The 16,381-nt window shown below is 35.3% G+C and overlaps 1 protein-coding gene across 5 annotated transcripts in view, besides 1 other annotated feature; it reads right to left on the bottom strand.

Moving 5' to 3' along the window:
• PRTG (protogenin) overlaps nucleotides 1–16,381 on the bottom strand; it is a 131,609-nt gene that overhangs the window by 58,760 nt on the left and 56,468 nt on the right. For all 5 annotated transcript variants that reach the window (NM_173814.6, XM_017022081.3, XM_017022082.3 and 2 more), the window contains exons 3-11: nucleotides 13,484–13,628; nucleotides 12,061–12,194; nucleotides 10,188–10,325; nucleotides 9,751–9,909; nucleotides 8,983–9,142; nucleotides 7,494–7,741; nucleotides 5,216–5,380; nucleotides 3,068–3,373; nucleotides 2,142–2,330 (exon numbers count right to left, since the gene is read on the bottom strand). In NM_173814.6, the coding sequence (NP_776175.2) occupies nucleotides 2,142–2,330; nucleotides 3,068–3,373; nucleotides 5,216–5,380; nucleotides 7,494–7,741; nucleotides 8,983–9,142; nucleotides 9,751–9,909; nucleotides 10,188–10,325; nucleotides 12,061–12,194; nucleotides 13,484–13,628 (1,644 nt within the window). The remainder of the gene's footprint in view (nucleotides 1–2,141; nucleotides 2,331–3,067; nucleotides 3,374–5,215; nucleotides 5,381–7,493; nucleotides 7,742–8,982; nucleotides 9,143–9,750; nucleotides 9,910–10,187; nucleotides 10,326–12,060; nucleotides 12,195–13,483; nucleotides 13,629–16,381) is intronic.
• Nucleotides 15,113–15,162: an enhancer, noted in NCBI's record as "active region_9449". NCBI's record gives its function as "activates an Ori minimal core promoter by ATAC-STARR-seq in GM12878 lymphoblastoid cells {active_cell/tissue: GM12878}" and the evidence as "EXISTENCE:reporter gene assay evidence [ECO:0000049][PMID:35858748]".

Consider the following 16,381-nt stretch of genomic DNA (forward strand, 5'->3'; position numbering starts at 1 on the left):
GCATGCTAATAATGTATTTTTTGTATCTTCTATATATTCATATTTTAACAGTGAGAAAATTGGAAGTAGTAAGCTTGATCTATGATTCTTCATCAACAATTGTCCCAAATCATGTTTCTTACATAATAACTAAGCAAAATTTTCTCGAATCAATAATATGCAGGGAAAGGGACAGAATACTGAGAAGCCATGACTAGGAATAAATGTTGCTGGCTTCAGTGGCAGTAGGTTGGGCTAATGTCATCTCAGTATCAATGGCTTAAGGAAGGTGAAACATATGTAATTTCTCCTCTTCATTTACAAAACTGTGTGACAGGCCGGGCACAGTGGCTCACGCCTGTAATCCCAACACTTTGGGAGGCTGAGATGGGCGGATCACCTGAGGTTGGGAGTTCAAGACCAGCCTGACCAACATGGAGAAACCCCCGTCTCTGCTAAAAATTCAAAATTAGCTGGGCTTGGTGGTGCATGCCTGTAATCCCAGCTACTCGGGAGGCTGAGGCAGGAGAATTGCTTGAACCTGGAGGCAGAGGTTGCGGTGAGCTGAGATTGTGCCATTACACTCCAGCCTGGGCAACAAGAGTAAAACTCCGTCACAAACACACACACACACACACACACACACACACACACACACACACACACACACACTTTGTGTGTGCACACAAAGAAGAGAAAAGAAAAAACTGTGTGACAGAGATCAATAGTGAAACTTACTTAACTGAATGCAGATTAAATTAAAAACCAACATAATGAGATTATAAGCAAAATACCATCTGGAAAACTGCATAGAACCACAGGATGAAGTTCTGTGTCCCTGCATCTGAAAACAGTCTCCCACCACTGCTTCTTACTGTGCAGAGACTCAAATCTAATGCTGCTCACACAGCCTGTGCTACCATGAGTCCAGGGAAGGACACAGAGAAGCCCATGGCTGTACAGCTGAGCCTTTTACCTCCCCTCACCTTCACAGGGCAGTCTGTGAAAGGAAAAGCCAGAGTGCTCTGTAAAATCCTAATATGTCCAGAAGGTGTAACAATTCAGTAGGTATTTAGCAGGTTAGTCATCATAATCAAAGGGACTGCTTTGTACTTAAGGGTAAAAATCTACTTATGAGCAACAAATAGCTAAGTGTACATTTTATACCTTGATGAGTTTATGTCAGTTTATAGTTTATATCCATGTATTCTTTTCTTTTTTCTTTTTTTTGAGACAGAATCTCGCACTGTCGCCCAGGCTGGAGCGTAGTGGCGCGATCTTCCTTGGCTCACTGCAACCTCCACCACCCAGGGTGAAGCTATTTTCCTGCCTCAGCCTCCCAAGTAGCTAGGATTACAGGAGCGTGCCACCAGGCTCAGCTAATTTTTGTATTTTTTTAGTAGAGACAGGGTTTCACCATGTTGGCCAGGCTGGTCTTGAACTCCCGACCTCAAGAGATCCACCCGCGTTGGCCTCCCAAAGTGCTGGGATTACAGGCATGAGCCACCACGCCTGGCCCATGTATTCATTTTGGATATACATTACTTTCTACTAAACATGTTTATATCATGAAATTCCTTTCACTCTACAAAGATAGGAAGACTAGGGAATAAAACAATGTCTTTCAGAACACTGACGAACTCAAATACAAAGTTAAGTGCTTTTTCTCCAGTGTTCCTGGGTTAGAGCTACATAAATATTCACAGTTACATGGGTCATATGTAAGGGCATTATTTATACCTAATTTGTAATTATATAGCAATTATATAGTACTCTCAGGCACATTTTAAGTGAAACTTAACCACTGAGTATGATTTGGTGATATCCCTATTCTAATTGCTATTCTACATCCGCCACACACTCACAATAATTGATCAGGACCTCAGTCTACCAGAAGTGAACGCCACAAAGAAAAGCAGATTCACAGAGCTGGACAAAGATAGAAAGATACAATGGCTGCCTGATATTTTGCCACTGGACTCACAATGGTAAGTCAAAGACCAATCACTGACTTCAGCAGTAGCATATACACACTGACATAGTAAAATCAATTCTTTTCTTTGTACCATTAAGTAAGTTCTCCTGCTTTAGATCCAATAACTTTTTTCGCAGTTTGTCAGAGAGGAAGGAAAAAGGGAAAAATACAGTACAAACTCACTCACCTAAGCCACTGAGAGTATAGAGTAGGTCCTTGGTATCCAAGAAAATGGGCCCATTCTCCTGCTGCCCTTCTTCCTTGTAGTACAGCTTGTAGCCCTGAATAGCAGCTGTGTCCTCTACATCTTGCTGCCACCTCACAGAAATGGTGGTACAGTTCAGAGGCTCCAAATGCAACTCTGGAGACTTAGGGGCTAGCAAAATTCATCAGAAAATGTATGTATAAACAACCCAATATCCACATAAAGACACAGAATAGGGTAGTTCTCTCAGTTTTAAGCAAACAATTACCAAAAGGTTCAATCCAAAAATTATACTATAACCTAACTTTCCAAATTTCACAATAATATTAAACTTTGAGATCAAAATTTAAAATATATAAAATACTATCTTAAAAAGACCAAGATATATAAATAGTAATATCTGGACATTTAATTTTTTTTCAAAGAGGCAATAAATACTTTCTAATTTTGGCCACACTCCTCTGTGATATAGAGAACAGGCACTATTGTCAGCCAATTAACAAGAAAACCAGTCGTGTTACATTCCACGTTAGTAAAACAGAAGGGTCTAGAATTTTGCAGTCCTATAGTCCTCCTACTGAACTAAGGATTTTAAAAATATATGGCAATAATATTAATTAGGCCTCTATGAATATCTTACTTTGGAAACTCAGTTTGATTTGGACTGATCTGTCCATGAGGCATTTGCTAAGCAAACTAACAGCACAACCAAAAAGTTTACACACAAATAAACTCTATGCAAAAGCGACTACTTAATAAAAAGTTTAATTTTTTTCAATTAAGTCCATCATCTATGGAATATTTTTATTTGTAAAACAAAATTTAAAAATATAAACATAATTTAGAGAAGAAAAACTTGATTCAAAAGTAAAAATACTGTATTTTCTTAACAGTCTTCAGAAATTCACCTTTCACGCTTGTAGCTTTGGGCGTCCTATGTGAAGTCCATACTGATGACTCTCCCAGCCCCACTCTGGTGGCAGCAGTAATCCGAACCAGGTAGACACTGTCAGGTTTCAGGCCTTCCAAAAGGTACTCATGCGTGGTCCCCGGGAGCTCCAGAACTTGGATTGAATTCTCAGTACTTAGGCGGAAAGACAAGCGATACAGCACCACTTGGCCCCGCCGATATTTGGCTGGGATTGGCAGCCAGGAGATGAGAATATCAGTGGGACTTCGACTTGTCAAACTAATTTCAGGAGGTCTCAGGGGAACTAGTCATAGAAGAAATCAGGTTGTTTATAAATATTTAGAATCGAATTGCCACTTAGCACACCAGTAACTGAATTCTCTTAATTAGCAACATATAATAAAGAAGAGACACTTTCAGCCCTAGCAGAGGTTTTCAGTGAAACAGAGTACAAACCAGAAAAAAGAAGAAAAAATAATGAGGGAGGGCTAAGTGTGTGGAAACAAAGAATATAAGATATTCTTCACTGTGGCTGTGATTGTTTTGTTGTTTGGAATGAATATGAGAATATTTGATATTCATACAAAATATGAGAATACTTCTCAAACAATTCCACCAAAGTGGCTTCGAAACAAGGGAGAGTGAATTATACAAGGGTGGGGAAGCCTAGTATTCTACAGTTATAACCAAGCAAATAATATTTTGAAGTGTAAGAGTTGCATCTTAAAAATTAATGTGAATTTTGTATTCCTAATTACAACATATGTTGTTTAATATAAAAACAGTTTTTCCTCCAAACATTTTAATAAAACTGCATTTCAGGAAAATGAGTCAAATACAGTGACAGGTGGTCTAAGAGTTCAGATGGGTTCTAGAGTTAGCTTCTCTGTGTCTGAAACCTTGTTCTACCATGTACGACTCTGTGATCTTGACCAAATTAACCTCTCTTACCTAGGTTTCTTCAGACACAAAATGAAGAAAATAATAATAGCTCCTTTTACAGTGTTTCCCTGCTATGCTAAGACTCACTTTCTTCAAGGATATAGAGGGAGAACAGACCTCACACACACACAAAATCTATCTTTATTAGCCTGCTTTTCACCTTAGACATGCATAACAGAGGTTGTTAATAGCAACGAGGTAACTAGAGATGTCATATATACTGTAGTTCACTCTAAAGTGGAACAGGCTCTTCAATGAAAACTAAAATTTGGAATTCATTAACCACATAAGTGAACCTTTTTTCATTTATTCTAAGTCTGATTTTATAAACACCTAAATAAGTGGCATGATAAAGATATAATAAGAGATCTGGGACTAAATGGAAAAAAAGGAGATTTGGAGATTATATAAAAACATTTTAAAAACTAAGAGCAGATCATTGCTTGAGGATAAAACATTTGCTAAGTGAGAACAGTATTGATTAAGCATGTATTAAATCATTCCCCTTCACATTGCAGGGTACTAAAAAAGGTCTTCTAGAGACTCTGGAAAGACAGATCCCTTCTTTTACAATATGGTATGAAGACTCAGAGGAGGATAATCAGTTCTCTCGGGCTATCTTAATATGGATGAAATTTCCCACCATTATAAGAATAATATGAATATCTGGCCTTCCCTAAAAGAATCACAACTCAATTTTCAACCCATGGTTAGGAAACAAACTGAACAAGTAATATTTTCCCCCTTAAGTAGTATAAGCATATTGTAGTTAATCAACAGGTACTAAGTGCTAAGAATTTTTTGACAGGTGATAAATCGTATAAAGTCCAAGTTTCAGAAGTCCAGTACCTCTGGCCCTGGTCACTACATACACTCAATATGTAACAGTCATTACAGTTATTCATGCCTAGAAAATGTTCTATTCAGTACAAAAAAGTTTGCAACATATTTACAATTTAAACTAGTAACCTTTGAAGAAATACAATGGGAATATAAGAATTTTATTATTAAATTTTATATTCTGAAAGTGCTCTTTATCCTTATGTTACTGGCAAAAAGCAAGAGTGAGATTTTGAACGGCAAATTTAACATACCTGTTTTTTAACCAAAAAGAGGATATTTTCTTTAAAACACATTTATTCATTGAAATTGACAAAACATACGAATGTTCATACTGAAATGATCTAGAATCATGTTTTCTTACCATCCTCTAGAGTATTCTGTGTCACATGGTCAGACATCTGGCTGGCTCCCATTGGCATATATGCTACAATGTAGAAAGTATAATTGCTGGCAGGCTCTAAGTCATCAATAATATAATGAGTTGTGTCATTTCCGATGACTACTTGATACTCTTCATTATTTAAACCTAAATTAAAGAATCCATGTTTTAAAATGACAGATATTCAAAATAAAATTAACAAGACCATTTTCCTGCACTGTGAAACACTGGTCCTTGGGTCTAATCTCAATCTCTTATCTTCTGTGCCCCTTTACAAAATGTGAACAGGAAGGTCTTTATTTTCTAAAAGTAACCATATTTCACTACAAATTATTAGAGGACATTTTTCCTGAATAAATCAAACTGAAAAGAATTCATCTTCTCTAAACTTCATTTACCATCTAGTCAAAACCCACAGCAGAGACAATGTACAGTAGTAACATAACAGAGCTTAACACAACAGAATATTGTAATTCATAACAGTGTAAACTTTACTTGCTTCAACTCATGGGGTTTTTTTTCTTTTAAACATAAATGGAGAGACAGTAGGGAATGTAATGGCTCCACTCTTTAGAAAAACAAACCAAACCAGAAGTTGTCCTGCGAAAGATCTCATTTTGCCCCTAGAGATTCTATTAAATTTGACTGACATAAGTTGTTCTTTTATTTATAATACTGAGGGCAAAAAAACTGGGAGTCACAGAATGTGCCTCAAAATGCTTTGTCCCACAGTGAGTTTTTTTTTTTAAGAGAAAAAAATTCTCAGCAACTCTTAATCAAATATGCATGACAAGGTATAGAAGAGGATTTGTCTTTGTAGGATTTAATTCCTACAGAGCAAACCTGTAAAGTGGAACAAGAGCATTGGCAGCCACTGTGCTTTGCTAACAATTCACAGTAAACGCATGTCAACTTAATCAAATCTCTCTAAGGACGGAGTCCCTTCTCCCCACACTGGATTTATAAACAAAACAGAAGGCAAATTCCAGTATTAAGTTTTCCCACATTTCTGAATTAACTTGATAGCATTTTAATTAGACAAGATTACAGGCATTTCACAACAGACTGGCTAATGGCTTGTTAATTAGGAGCTGCATAGTACGATTTCTGACCTACCAAACAAGGTCCTTGAGTTCGAATTAAAAAGCCTTGTTCCATTCCTGAATAGACCACTGAGCCTCATGTGGAGGCTCTAATGAAACAACCATAATAGGGAACAAGAGTGGTCCCCACCAAAACCAGCATTCCTTTTACCTTCATAAATCACTAAAAAGGGAATTAACATACTCCAGCATGCTCAGTTATCAGACTTTCATTCTTCTTGCTTCCATGACCCCTGATTTACATTCAAAATATTCCTTTTCAAAACCCTACTTCAAAGTACAAAAAACAAATAGCAGCAGCAACAACAAACCACCTGTTTCTATGGCTAATTTTATTATATCCCCATCCTTAGGTGTTTGAATTTGTTTTTAACGTATATTCCATAAAAGCTAGGCTGTTGAAGTATAGAACTGAAATTTCTAAGCCTCTACCATGGTTTCTATGAAAAAGCAAGAGAGAAATTTCTAGGATTTATCAGTAGTTTCTCTTTTTCCTCTAAGACATTTGCTAAAAGTAAAATATAAGAAAAATTTTTAAATCTCCAAAATAGAACCAATAATTCTGAACAAAAATTGGAAGACACATTTGATTTCTACTTTTATATGATGAGATAGCAGTAAAGAATGTCCTGTTCAATTTTCAGAGGGTTCTATATGATTTCAGAAAACATTCAAAATATACAAAATACTTAAAATATACAAAATCAAAAATATGGGGAATTTGACAATGTTTACTTTCTCCCTTAAAAATAATAAATATACATAGTTTATTATTTTACTAAACAGTCAAACCACTGTTCTAATGTAACTACATACATAAGTTGGTATATTAAGTCTCAGTTAAGGAATTTATACCTTGTCTGGAATGAAATTCGTAAGTACACCACTTTGTAACTTCTAAGCAGGCAGTGATGCTTTGCATTAGCTGGTAATTGTTTCTAAACAGAAAAATCTTAAACTATACTTACATATACAAAGTACACAACATGAAATTTAGAAAACAATAGATACATAGGTGATAGATTATTTTATCAAAGAAGATAAATGCCACCAAATTTCAAAAATATTTTATGGATTATGTAAGGCATTATTCGTACTGAAAACAAATCCTTGATAGCAAGGAGTACTTAAAAATAAGCACTCCTAAAATCGCTTACCTTCTGCTTTCATGTAGTGTACAGAATAGGCAATGACTTTGTCTGAATTATAAAGTGGCCTCTCCCAGGCTAAAAGAATGGCTGAGCTTGACATGGTTTCAGCATGTACATTATAGGGAGCACTGGGTCTGTCTTCTGACATCACTACAGTCAGTCTGGCTCTAGATAAAATAGATCCTTGGCTATTCTCAGCCATGCACTGATAAATAGCATCATCTTCAGGAATAATCTGGTTAATTACCAATTTACTAGGGAAAGAAAAAAAATTATTTCCATGAAAAATTCTAAGAATGAATTCAAAATAAAGTTTAGCTATTGCTAAATATACTCTCATTTTATTTTATTTTAAAATTAAAATTAAAATCAAGCATTTGTAGAACACTGCAGCAACTATGTGGAATCCTGAAGATTTTTTGGTGTGTTTTTGTTTTTGTCGTTTTCTTTCTGTTGTTGTTGTTTTAAAGAGACGGGGTCTCACTCTGTAACCCAGGCTGAAGTGCAGTGTCACAATCACAGCTCACTGCGGCCTCAAACTCCTGGGCTCAAATAATCCTCTCGCCCTCTTGCCTCATCCTCCTGAGTAGCCGGGACTCCAGGCATGTGTAGTTTTTAAACTTTTTGTAATTTTTTGTAGAGACAAGGTCTCACTGTGTTGCCCAGGTTGGTCTTAAATTCCTAGGCTGAAGTGATCTTCCCACCTTGGTCTCCCAAAGCACTGGGATTACTGGCTAGAGCCACCATGTCTGGCTTATAGTATCATTTTAGATAATAAAAGTTACTGAAAACAAAACAAAACAAAAACTATGTAATCTGTCCTATGAAAAATATTCTACATTAATCACTTAAAATTATTCATTTTTGAGTCTGCATTAATATTTGTGATATTCAAATGCTCTCTGCTTTAGGTAACAACTTATTTTTTTAAATTTGGCTCATTAAGAATTTATATGACTTGAATACCATCTAATTTACAGAATATTATAGTGTGTACATAGAATTCAGGTCAACAAAAATTTTTAAGTTTTGTTCAACACAAATGAGAATGTTACAATAATTTGTATTTATGCTAATAAAAATGAATTATTAAAATCATTAACTATAGAGAAATTATTAGAGAATTATTTCTTCTAATTTCCTCATTTTGTGGAAGAAGGAACTAAGACCCCAAGGAGCTAATATGCTTTCTTGTGGTAACTTAACTCTAGTGGTGGCTTAATAGCACTAGAACCCTGGAGTTTGGGGAACTGTGTAACATGCATTTTATTACCATCTACCACTTTCATGACCCATGTATAAAATACCAATGAGTATTTAGCATAGCACATGTATGACATGATAATGTTATAAGTCTTAATTTCTTAGTTTAGTTTCATTTTGTTAATAACTATCAAGATAATTTAGGTATTTGATATTATTATAACCATTTCACATAAAAATTACTAAAGCCATTATATCATATATAAAATGGTAGCAAAGTTACACAGCCTACCTGTTGTACATTTTAATTCTACCATTCGAATGTATCTTCCTTCCATTTTTCAACCATGACATCTTGGGAGAGGGGATTCCTTCTGCCTGACACACAAATCGAGCAGTGCCAGCTCGAGGCCTTGTTAAACTTTCTGGCCATTCAACAAATGAAGGAGGAGCTATTTTTAAAGAAAAAAATGAAATATTTCTGTGATCCTAATAGGAATGATGTAAAGGGTCAAGGAAGAAAACAGCAAATGAAACAAGCCCCATTCCTGAAGATGCCTGACATGCTGAGCTCCTGTCTACATCTCCATACATCTCTCCAGGTGCCTTTTCTCGGCATTGCTCAGTGTTCACTTCCTCCATGATTTCCCTATTCAGAGCATCTATATAGACACACTTAAAATATATGTACCTATCATCCTTCTTAACTAAGAACAATATATAGCCACATGCGAATGCAGTGCAAGTGGCAATAATCAAGAGATTAAATTTTTAAATTGGCAAATAGGTACACGGATATGTGTGTAGGTGTGATGGAGATAGAAGGGAAGCCTAAATAAGAAGGAACATAATGGTATGCATGTAAACAGAATGGTGACCTCAGAATGATTCTACAGTTATATTTTAACATAAATATTTGTTTTTTCCTGAAATTCATCATTTGATTACAATACTTCATATCAATGCTACAAAGCTCAAGAAAGAAGTAAGCTATGAATGAGATAAAACGGCAAATGTTAAAATGTAAGATTCCCCTGATTGCAGAATGAAAGGAACATACCTAATACAGTTAAAGTTGCCATAGCAACTGTAAAGTTGCGTGTGCCAGGGGTAGTGGCCCGACAAACATATACTCCAGCATGTTGTAGCCTGACATCAGATATCATGAGATTACCATTTCCAAGTACCCGAGTATTAAAGACATCAATGGATTTGTGATCTATTTCAAAGAGAATACTTCAGTTTAAACAATGTAACAAATAACCTGAAATTATGTCAAAAGACCACTATCCAAGCAATCAATCATGAAAAGTATAAAATTAAATATAAAATTCTCCATGTTAAGACCTTTTCTCTACTCACTGAAATGCCAAAAAAATTAAGACATTCAACAGCCAAACCTGTGTTTTTGTATATAAAATAAACATTTTATAAATTTCATTAGAATGAACAAAATTTAAGGAAAAGACTTTTTTTTTTTTTCCTGAGAAGACTTACCAAGGCGGCTCCAAGAAATGATTGGTTTGGGATTTCCTGTGGCCATGCATTCCAAAACTACAGTCTGATGAAGAGATGTTGTTATGTTCTGTGGACCTGCTATAATTGTTGGTGTGTGGAAGGATTTTGACTCCTTAGCTTTGGGGAGGAAAAGACAGAATATAAAAATAAATTATAAATAAGATATAATAAGTGAAATTAGTGAGACATTTATTCTTATCACTCACTTTTCTTTTTTTAAAACAACTTTATTGAGATATAACTCACATACCATCCAATTCACCCATCTGAAGTATATAATTCAGTGGTTTTTAGAGTTTTCAGAGTTGTACAACTATTACCACAATTAATTTTAGAACATTTTTATCACTCTCCAAAACAATCCCAAACCCATTAGCAGTCACTCCCAATCTCTTCTTCTCTCCACAGCCTAGTAACCACTAATCTACTTTCAGTCTCTCTGGATTTGCCTATTCTAGACATTTCATATAAATGGAACCATATATTATGTGGTCTTTTCTGAATGGCTTCTTTTCAGTTAGCATAATGTTTTCAAGGTTCACCCATGTTGTTACATGTATAAGTACTTCATTCCTTTATATTGAGCAATATATATCATTGTATAGATAGAACACATTTTATTTATCCATTCATCAGTTGATGGACATTCAGGTTATTTTCCGTATCATTACTTTTAATTGAGGTTCAAACATTCATTTATTTATATAATTATCTAAAATTTATTTAATTTACCTAAAATTAAAGCATAGCATTAAATACATAACTTCAGCCTCTTAATGTTTTTCTAAATTTCTTCTTTTTTCAGCCTTAAAGGATATGTTAGAAACCAGTATCTCTTGTGAAGAATAAACATTTATGTGAAGTTCAACAATGTCTTCAGTCCAGGTTTTCTTCTACTACATTTAAACAAACTTAACCTTTGAAATAAAAACTATCATCTATTGCATTTTAATGAAATATCTATTTCTTTATATGCATCTCTCTAGTTTCCCTTCTACCTATATTAATGTATGGCAAAATATATAAAATTGTGCTCGCTTAATATTAACAATGATAATTTTTGCATTAAGATTGAGGATATTTTTTAACTTTTATTTTTGTGTTTTTAAAAATTGTTTAATATAGAAGCTTTATATTTTCTATTTTCATAAACATTGCTTTTTATAAAATGCATGTATCATTTTTACAAATGCAAATCGTGGTATTTCTTTAAACGACAAGCAAAAGAATACGACTAGAAACAAGCATATCTTTTTCCACAACAGACAATTCTGGTAGAAACGGATGACTGTTATTCTCTTTTTTGTGCTTTCTGTATTTTACACTTTTAAAAACGAAAGTGAAATATAGCCAGCCCTCAGTATCTGTGGGTTGCACATCTGTAAATTCAACCAACTGCCTGTTGAAAATATTTTTTTAAAAAATAAAAATACACAAATTTTAAAATATAGTATAACAATGATTTACATAGAATTTACATTGTTAGGTATTATAAGTAATCTAGAGATGATTTAAAGTATACAGGAGAGTGTGCATAGGTGAATGAAAATAACATGCCATTTTCTATGAGAGACCTGAGCATCAGTGAATTTTGGCATTGAATAGAATACCAAAGACTGAATATTTGTTAATCTTTCTTAAGACTGAATATTTCTTAAAGACATTGACATAACATAGAAAACTGGCCTATGAAAGAAGAGTTGCTTAATAACTAAAAATGACCATTTTCCAAATAGATTATAATAATTTAAATGAAATTCTACTTTATGGCACATTATTACAGCAGAGGAGAAGAAGTAACAACTGCGCCAATAAAACGTCATAAAAATGGAAAAACCACTCTGCGTGGTACCTGGAATCACAGTTAGCGAGGCCTCCATACTTTTACGTCGGTGGGCTACAGTGGCAGCAATACAACGATAATTTCCAGAATCCCTTTGGCTGACATCATAGATCTGCAATACTCCTGTTGGTAGGGCAGTTATCCTGTTATGAGAGAAAGATAATTAAACTTTTTGTAGTAGATTTCATATTTTATTTATTTATTTATTTATTTATTTATTTATTTATGAGATGGAGTTTCACTCTTGTTGCCCCGGCTGGAGTGCAATGGCATGATCTCAGCTCACTGGAACGTCTGTCTCCAGGGTTCAAGCGATTCTCCCGCCTCAGCCTACCAAGCAGCTGGGATTACAGGTGCGCCACCATGCCCAGCTGATTTCTGTATTTTTAGTAGAGATGGGGTTTCACCATGATGATCAGGCTGGTCTTGAATTTCTGACCTCAAGTGATCTGCCCGCCTCGGCCTCCCAAAGTGTTGGAATTACAGGTGTGAGCCACCGTGCCGGGCTTAGACTACATATTTTATTTAACATATTCTGTGATAGGAATACACTCAACCTTTTTACAGTGCTACAAGCAATACTTTAAAGACCTTTTAAAATATTAGCTTGATTCTATTGTTTTCATTTGGGTCACTAAAGCTCTCTAAAACATAAACAATCCAGCATGATATGGTTTGTGCAATCTATCAGTCGAATTTTACAGAGTCTCATTTGACATTCTAGCATAGATTTAGTTAACTGGTGGCCTAGAGTTTAGTATAATTTTTTTCAAATTCCTGATTTTTTACCTATTAATATCCATATATTGTCCAAGACATATGTAGATATGCTTTTTTTTTTTAAATAAAGCACTTCCATGAATAACTTATTCCATCTTAGTGCTTTACCATGTTAGCAAATGTCTGCCAACTCAGGAGCAGGGCAGGAATCAAACTTTTTGGAGTTGCTATCAAGTTCTTGATTTTTCAATCCCAACCGCCCGCAGAACACTAGATGTGTGCATGTGTGCTTGTGTGTGCATTTGTAGTAAAGAGGGGGTTGAGAAGTGGAAGGCAGAGACAGGAGTGGGCAGCTACCAGGGCATACATGAAAGACCCTTACACCAACACTGCCCTTCCCAGCAATGAGAGTGTAATCTGGTTTCCTAAAACCCTGGGCTGCAGTCCAGATAGTCATGGTTAGAACAGATGGTTGAGGAAAGGATCAAGGCAGTAGGATAATCTATTTAAATTCTGATCTAAACCAGGAACCATGCCCCATGTGCCAGAGACTGATGATCTAATTCTTTGGCTAAGTTTGAAATGTCTTAAGCAATCAGTTATTACTGCCCTAAATAAAAATGAGGCCTATAATGGTGTTTCTCCCTATATAATCTCATATGAAGTCTTCATTACTCCCATATCATCTCCAAAGACAAAAATCTACATCTACCTGTCCATAGTCATAGGTAGAGTTGTCCGATTGAACTCCCATGTTATGACTGCAGGAGGGTGGGATGAAATCTTGCATGCAAATCGAGCAACTCCACCTTCGTGGACCTCAGTGGAAATTGGCTGGACTTCAAATGCAGAAATAGCTATAAGATAAAGTTTGAGAAATTCAGAATAAGTGCATGAAAATAACACTTAGAAGTAACATTACACTAGATATTACTTATTGGACTTGAACCCTTGCTTGGATATAAGACCAACCTAACTTAACCAGCATGAAGATAATTTAGTGAATAATTTTGGAGAAAACACTGGGCAGTTGCCCAATTTACGAAGTCTGGTCTTTCCCAGAATTAAATTCTAAATAGGTTCGCAAGAAATTTATCTATTTGGAGATAAAAAGTTAACATATGAAACAAAAATAAACAATGGTATATAATTACATACTAAACTGTGTGGTACAAACTTCAAATACTATTGTATATCAGAGGAGAGGGAAACAAATAAATTCAAACTAATCAGGTAAAAACCATTTACAGGAACTGGTTTTGAATTAGCTTTTGAAGAATCCACTGGATTTAGATGGGGGTGGTGGTGGTGGGAAAGCACAGAACATTTCAAGTGAAAAGAATAACATGAAGACAAGCACAGAGGTAAGAAATGCAAAGCTTGCATTCATAGGATTGTGAGGAAACAGCCAGAACTACTGCAAAATATTTCAGATCAAGACTTTATGGGAAAGCTGAAGAAGAATACAGATAAAACAAATTAAGGCATCAATTAAGATTTCTGAGCAAAGGCATGTCCTGATATTAGCAATGTGTGGGAAAAACTAATCAGGATGGATAGAATAAAGGAGTCTCAAGTCAAAAGTCCAATAGGCTATTAAATAGGGATTACAGAACTGGGTGGTGGCAGTGGAATGGGGAGAGTCTAGCGATATCTTAAAGAAAACAAAGACTTGGTTCTTATGCCACAGACATATCACTCTATCTGGAATCAGATGAAGCTGGTAATGAAGGAACAGGATGAGAAAGGAAAGAGAGAAGCCCAAGGGTGCATCTCAAACAAAAGGTAGAGAAACTCAAGAGACGATTTTTAGGCTCATCTATTTCCAAAGCAGAGATCAATCTTGAAGGGTTGGTATTTTCTAGAGATAATTATTCTTTGCAATTCTAGGCAGGCCTCCAGGAAGTGGTCTTCAGTGTCCATGATCACATTTTGAGGGAGTGTAAATTCCAGGTTTCCCTTCCTTCTACTAAGTCTTCCAAGATACAAAGAAAGGTCCACTACTATAGTCTTCCTCCTCCCCTCCCCAGATTCCAGTTCAAAGAAAAATTTGTTTGAACTTTATTATTTATAAATAAAATGAGAAGTTATGAAGAAGAATAGAGGTAATAGGGCTACATGAACTTATGCTTCATTAGGCTGAAAAGGGTAAAAGGTCATAGAAGGCTAACAAATTCTGCCTTGCACTTGAACTCATTTATCTGTAGATAGATCACAGGCCTTTACAAGCACAGGACAAGGCCAGCAAATAATGGTGAAAATATTCTTAGGAGGATGGACTTCCCAAAAGGGTGGAGTGGGGGTGAAATAATCCCTTATTTGTGTATGAAACATAAATCTGTTTCAAACTGCTATTGTTGGTGGATCCTCAAAGTCAGAATCATTTGCATAATAACTTTCACTCTCTTGTCTTGAATATACGGTGTTTTCCAGGAGTTATGTAATGCATGGTATTACAACAGACCAAAAGTTGAGGCAGACACATATGAGAACCCAGCTGTCTTCTATTAAGCTAACTAAAGAGATATGCACAAATGTAAAGCAATTCTGCTCCTCTGGCTAATTTTTTCCTCTGGAAAATAGTTATATTAATATGTGATGCATAAATGTTTTCATTCTAAAATGAATTAATGAATATTTTTCTCAGTTTTAATTTCTAATAGTGTCAATAGATGTAAGCTACATAAATAAAAGTTATTTGAGTTTTAAGAGTATAAAGAGTGAGACTCTTCAGTTGGAGAACCACTCTTAGAATATCAAACTCTAAAAATCGATATCATGAATCTATGTTGCTGATCAATTAATTAGTCCCTGTAAAACTCAAGCCCCATATTCAACCACTTACAATGGTGTTTCACTAACATTGAGCTACTTTTCATTGCTTCTGTACACTTGCTAGGATGTTTATCTGCAAACATTTTAATTTTGGATCTAAACCTATGGACCATCCCCTGCTGTTTATCTACTAAAGAATTAGGAAACAGATGGCTAGATTCACCTTTAAAATATCAGCTTCACATTCAGGCAGAACAACCTGATTTCTCAATAATCAGGTAAGTTTGTCTTTTTATAATTAACTTAAACTATGTTGAATACATTTATCTTGGGGGGAATTAGGACCTACATTTCCGTAAATATAATGCTTGCTTTATGAAATATAAAGCACTCTTGTCAATCCCATATTCACCTTTTCCATGTGTGAGGGGTGACCATTAGTTCTAGTTGTCACTGATAATCCAGTCCATATTCAATTGACAGACTTCAAAATGGGAATTTTACTTTATTATTTCTCAGACTCTACCTCTCCAGACTGAAATATCTTACTTAGTTTAAATTTTTTTTACAGAACAGAAGCTCCCCCAGCCTGTCCACTTTAACAATTTCTTCTTCCACGACCCCACAATGAATTAAGTATTCAATTCAAGATGTTTTATCTCATTTATTCCTCTCTCATATCTGACTTCTCTTCATCCCTAACAGTCCTCTGTTCAATTCAGGCCCTTATCATATCCTGTCTAGATGTCTTTCTGGAGCCTCTTAGCTGGTATCTCCCCTGCCAGCAACATCACCCTCAGTGATCATCATAAACCATGAATCTGTGTTGCTGCTG

The sequence above is a fragment of the Homo sapiens genome, chromosome 15 (assembly GCF_000001405.40).
Source record: "Homo sapiens chromosome 15, GRCh38.p14 Primary Assembly".
In the NCBI taxonomy this organism is placed as follows: domain Eukaryota; kingdom Metazoa; phylum Chordata; class Mammalia; order Primates; family Hominidae; genus Homo; species Homo sapiens.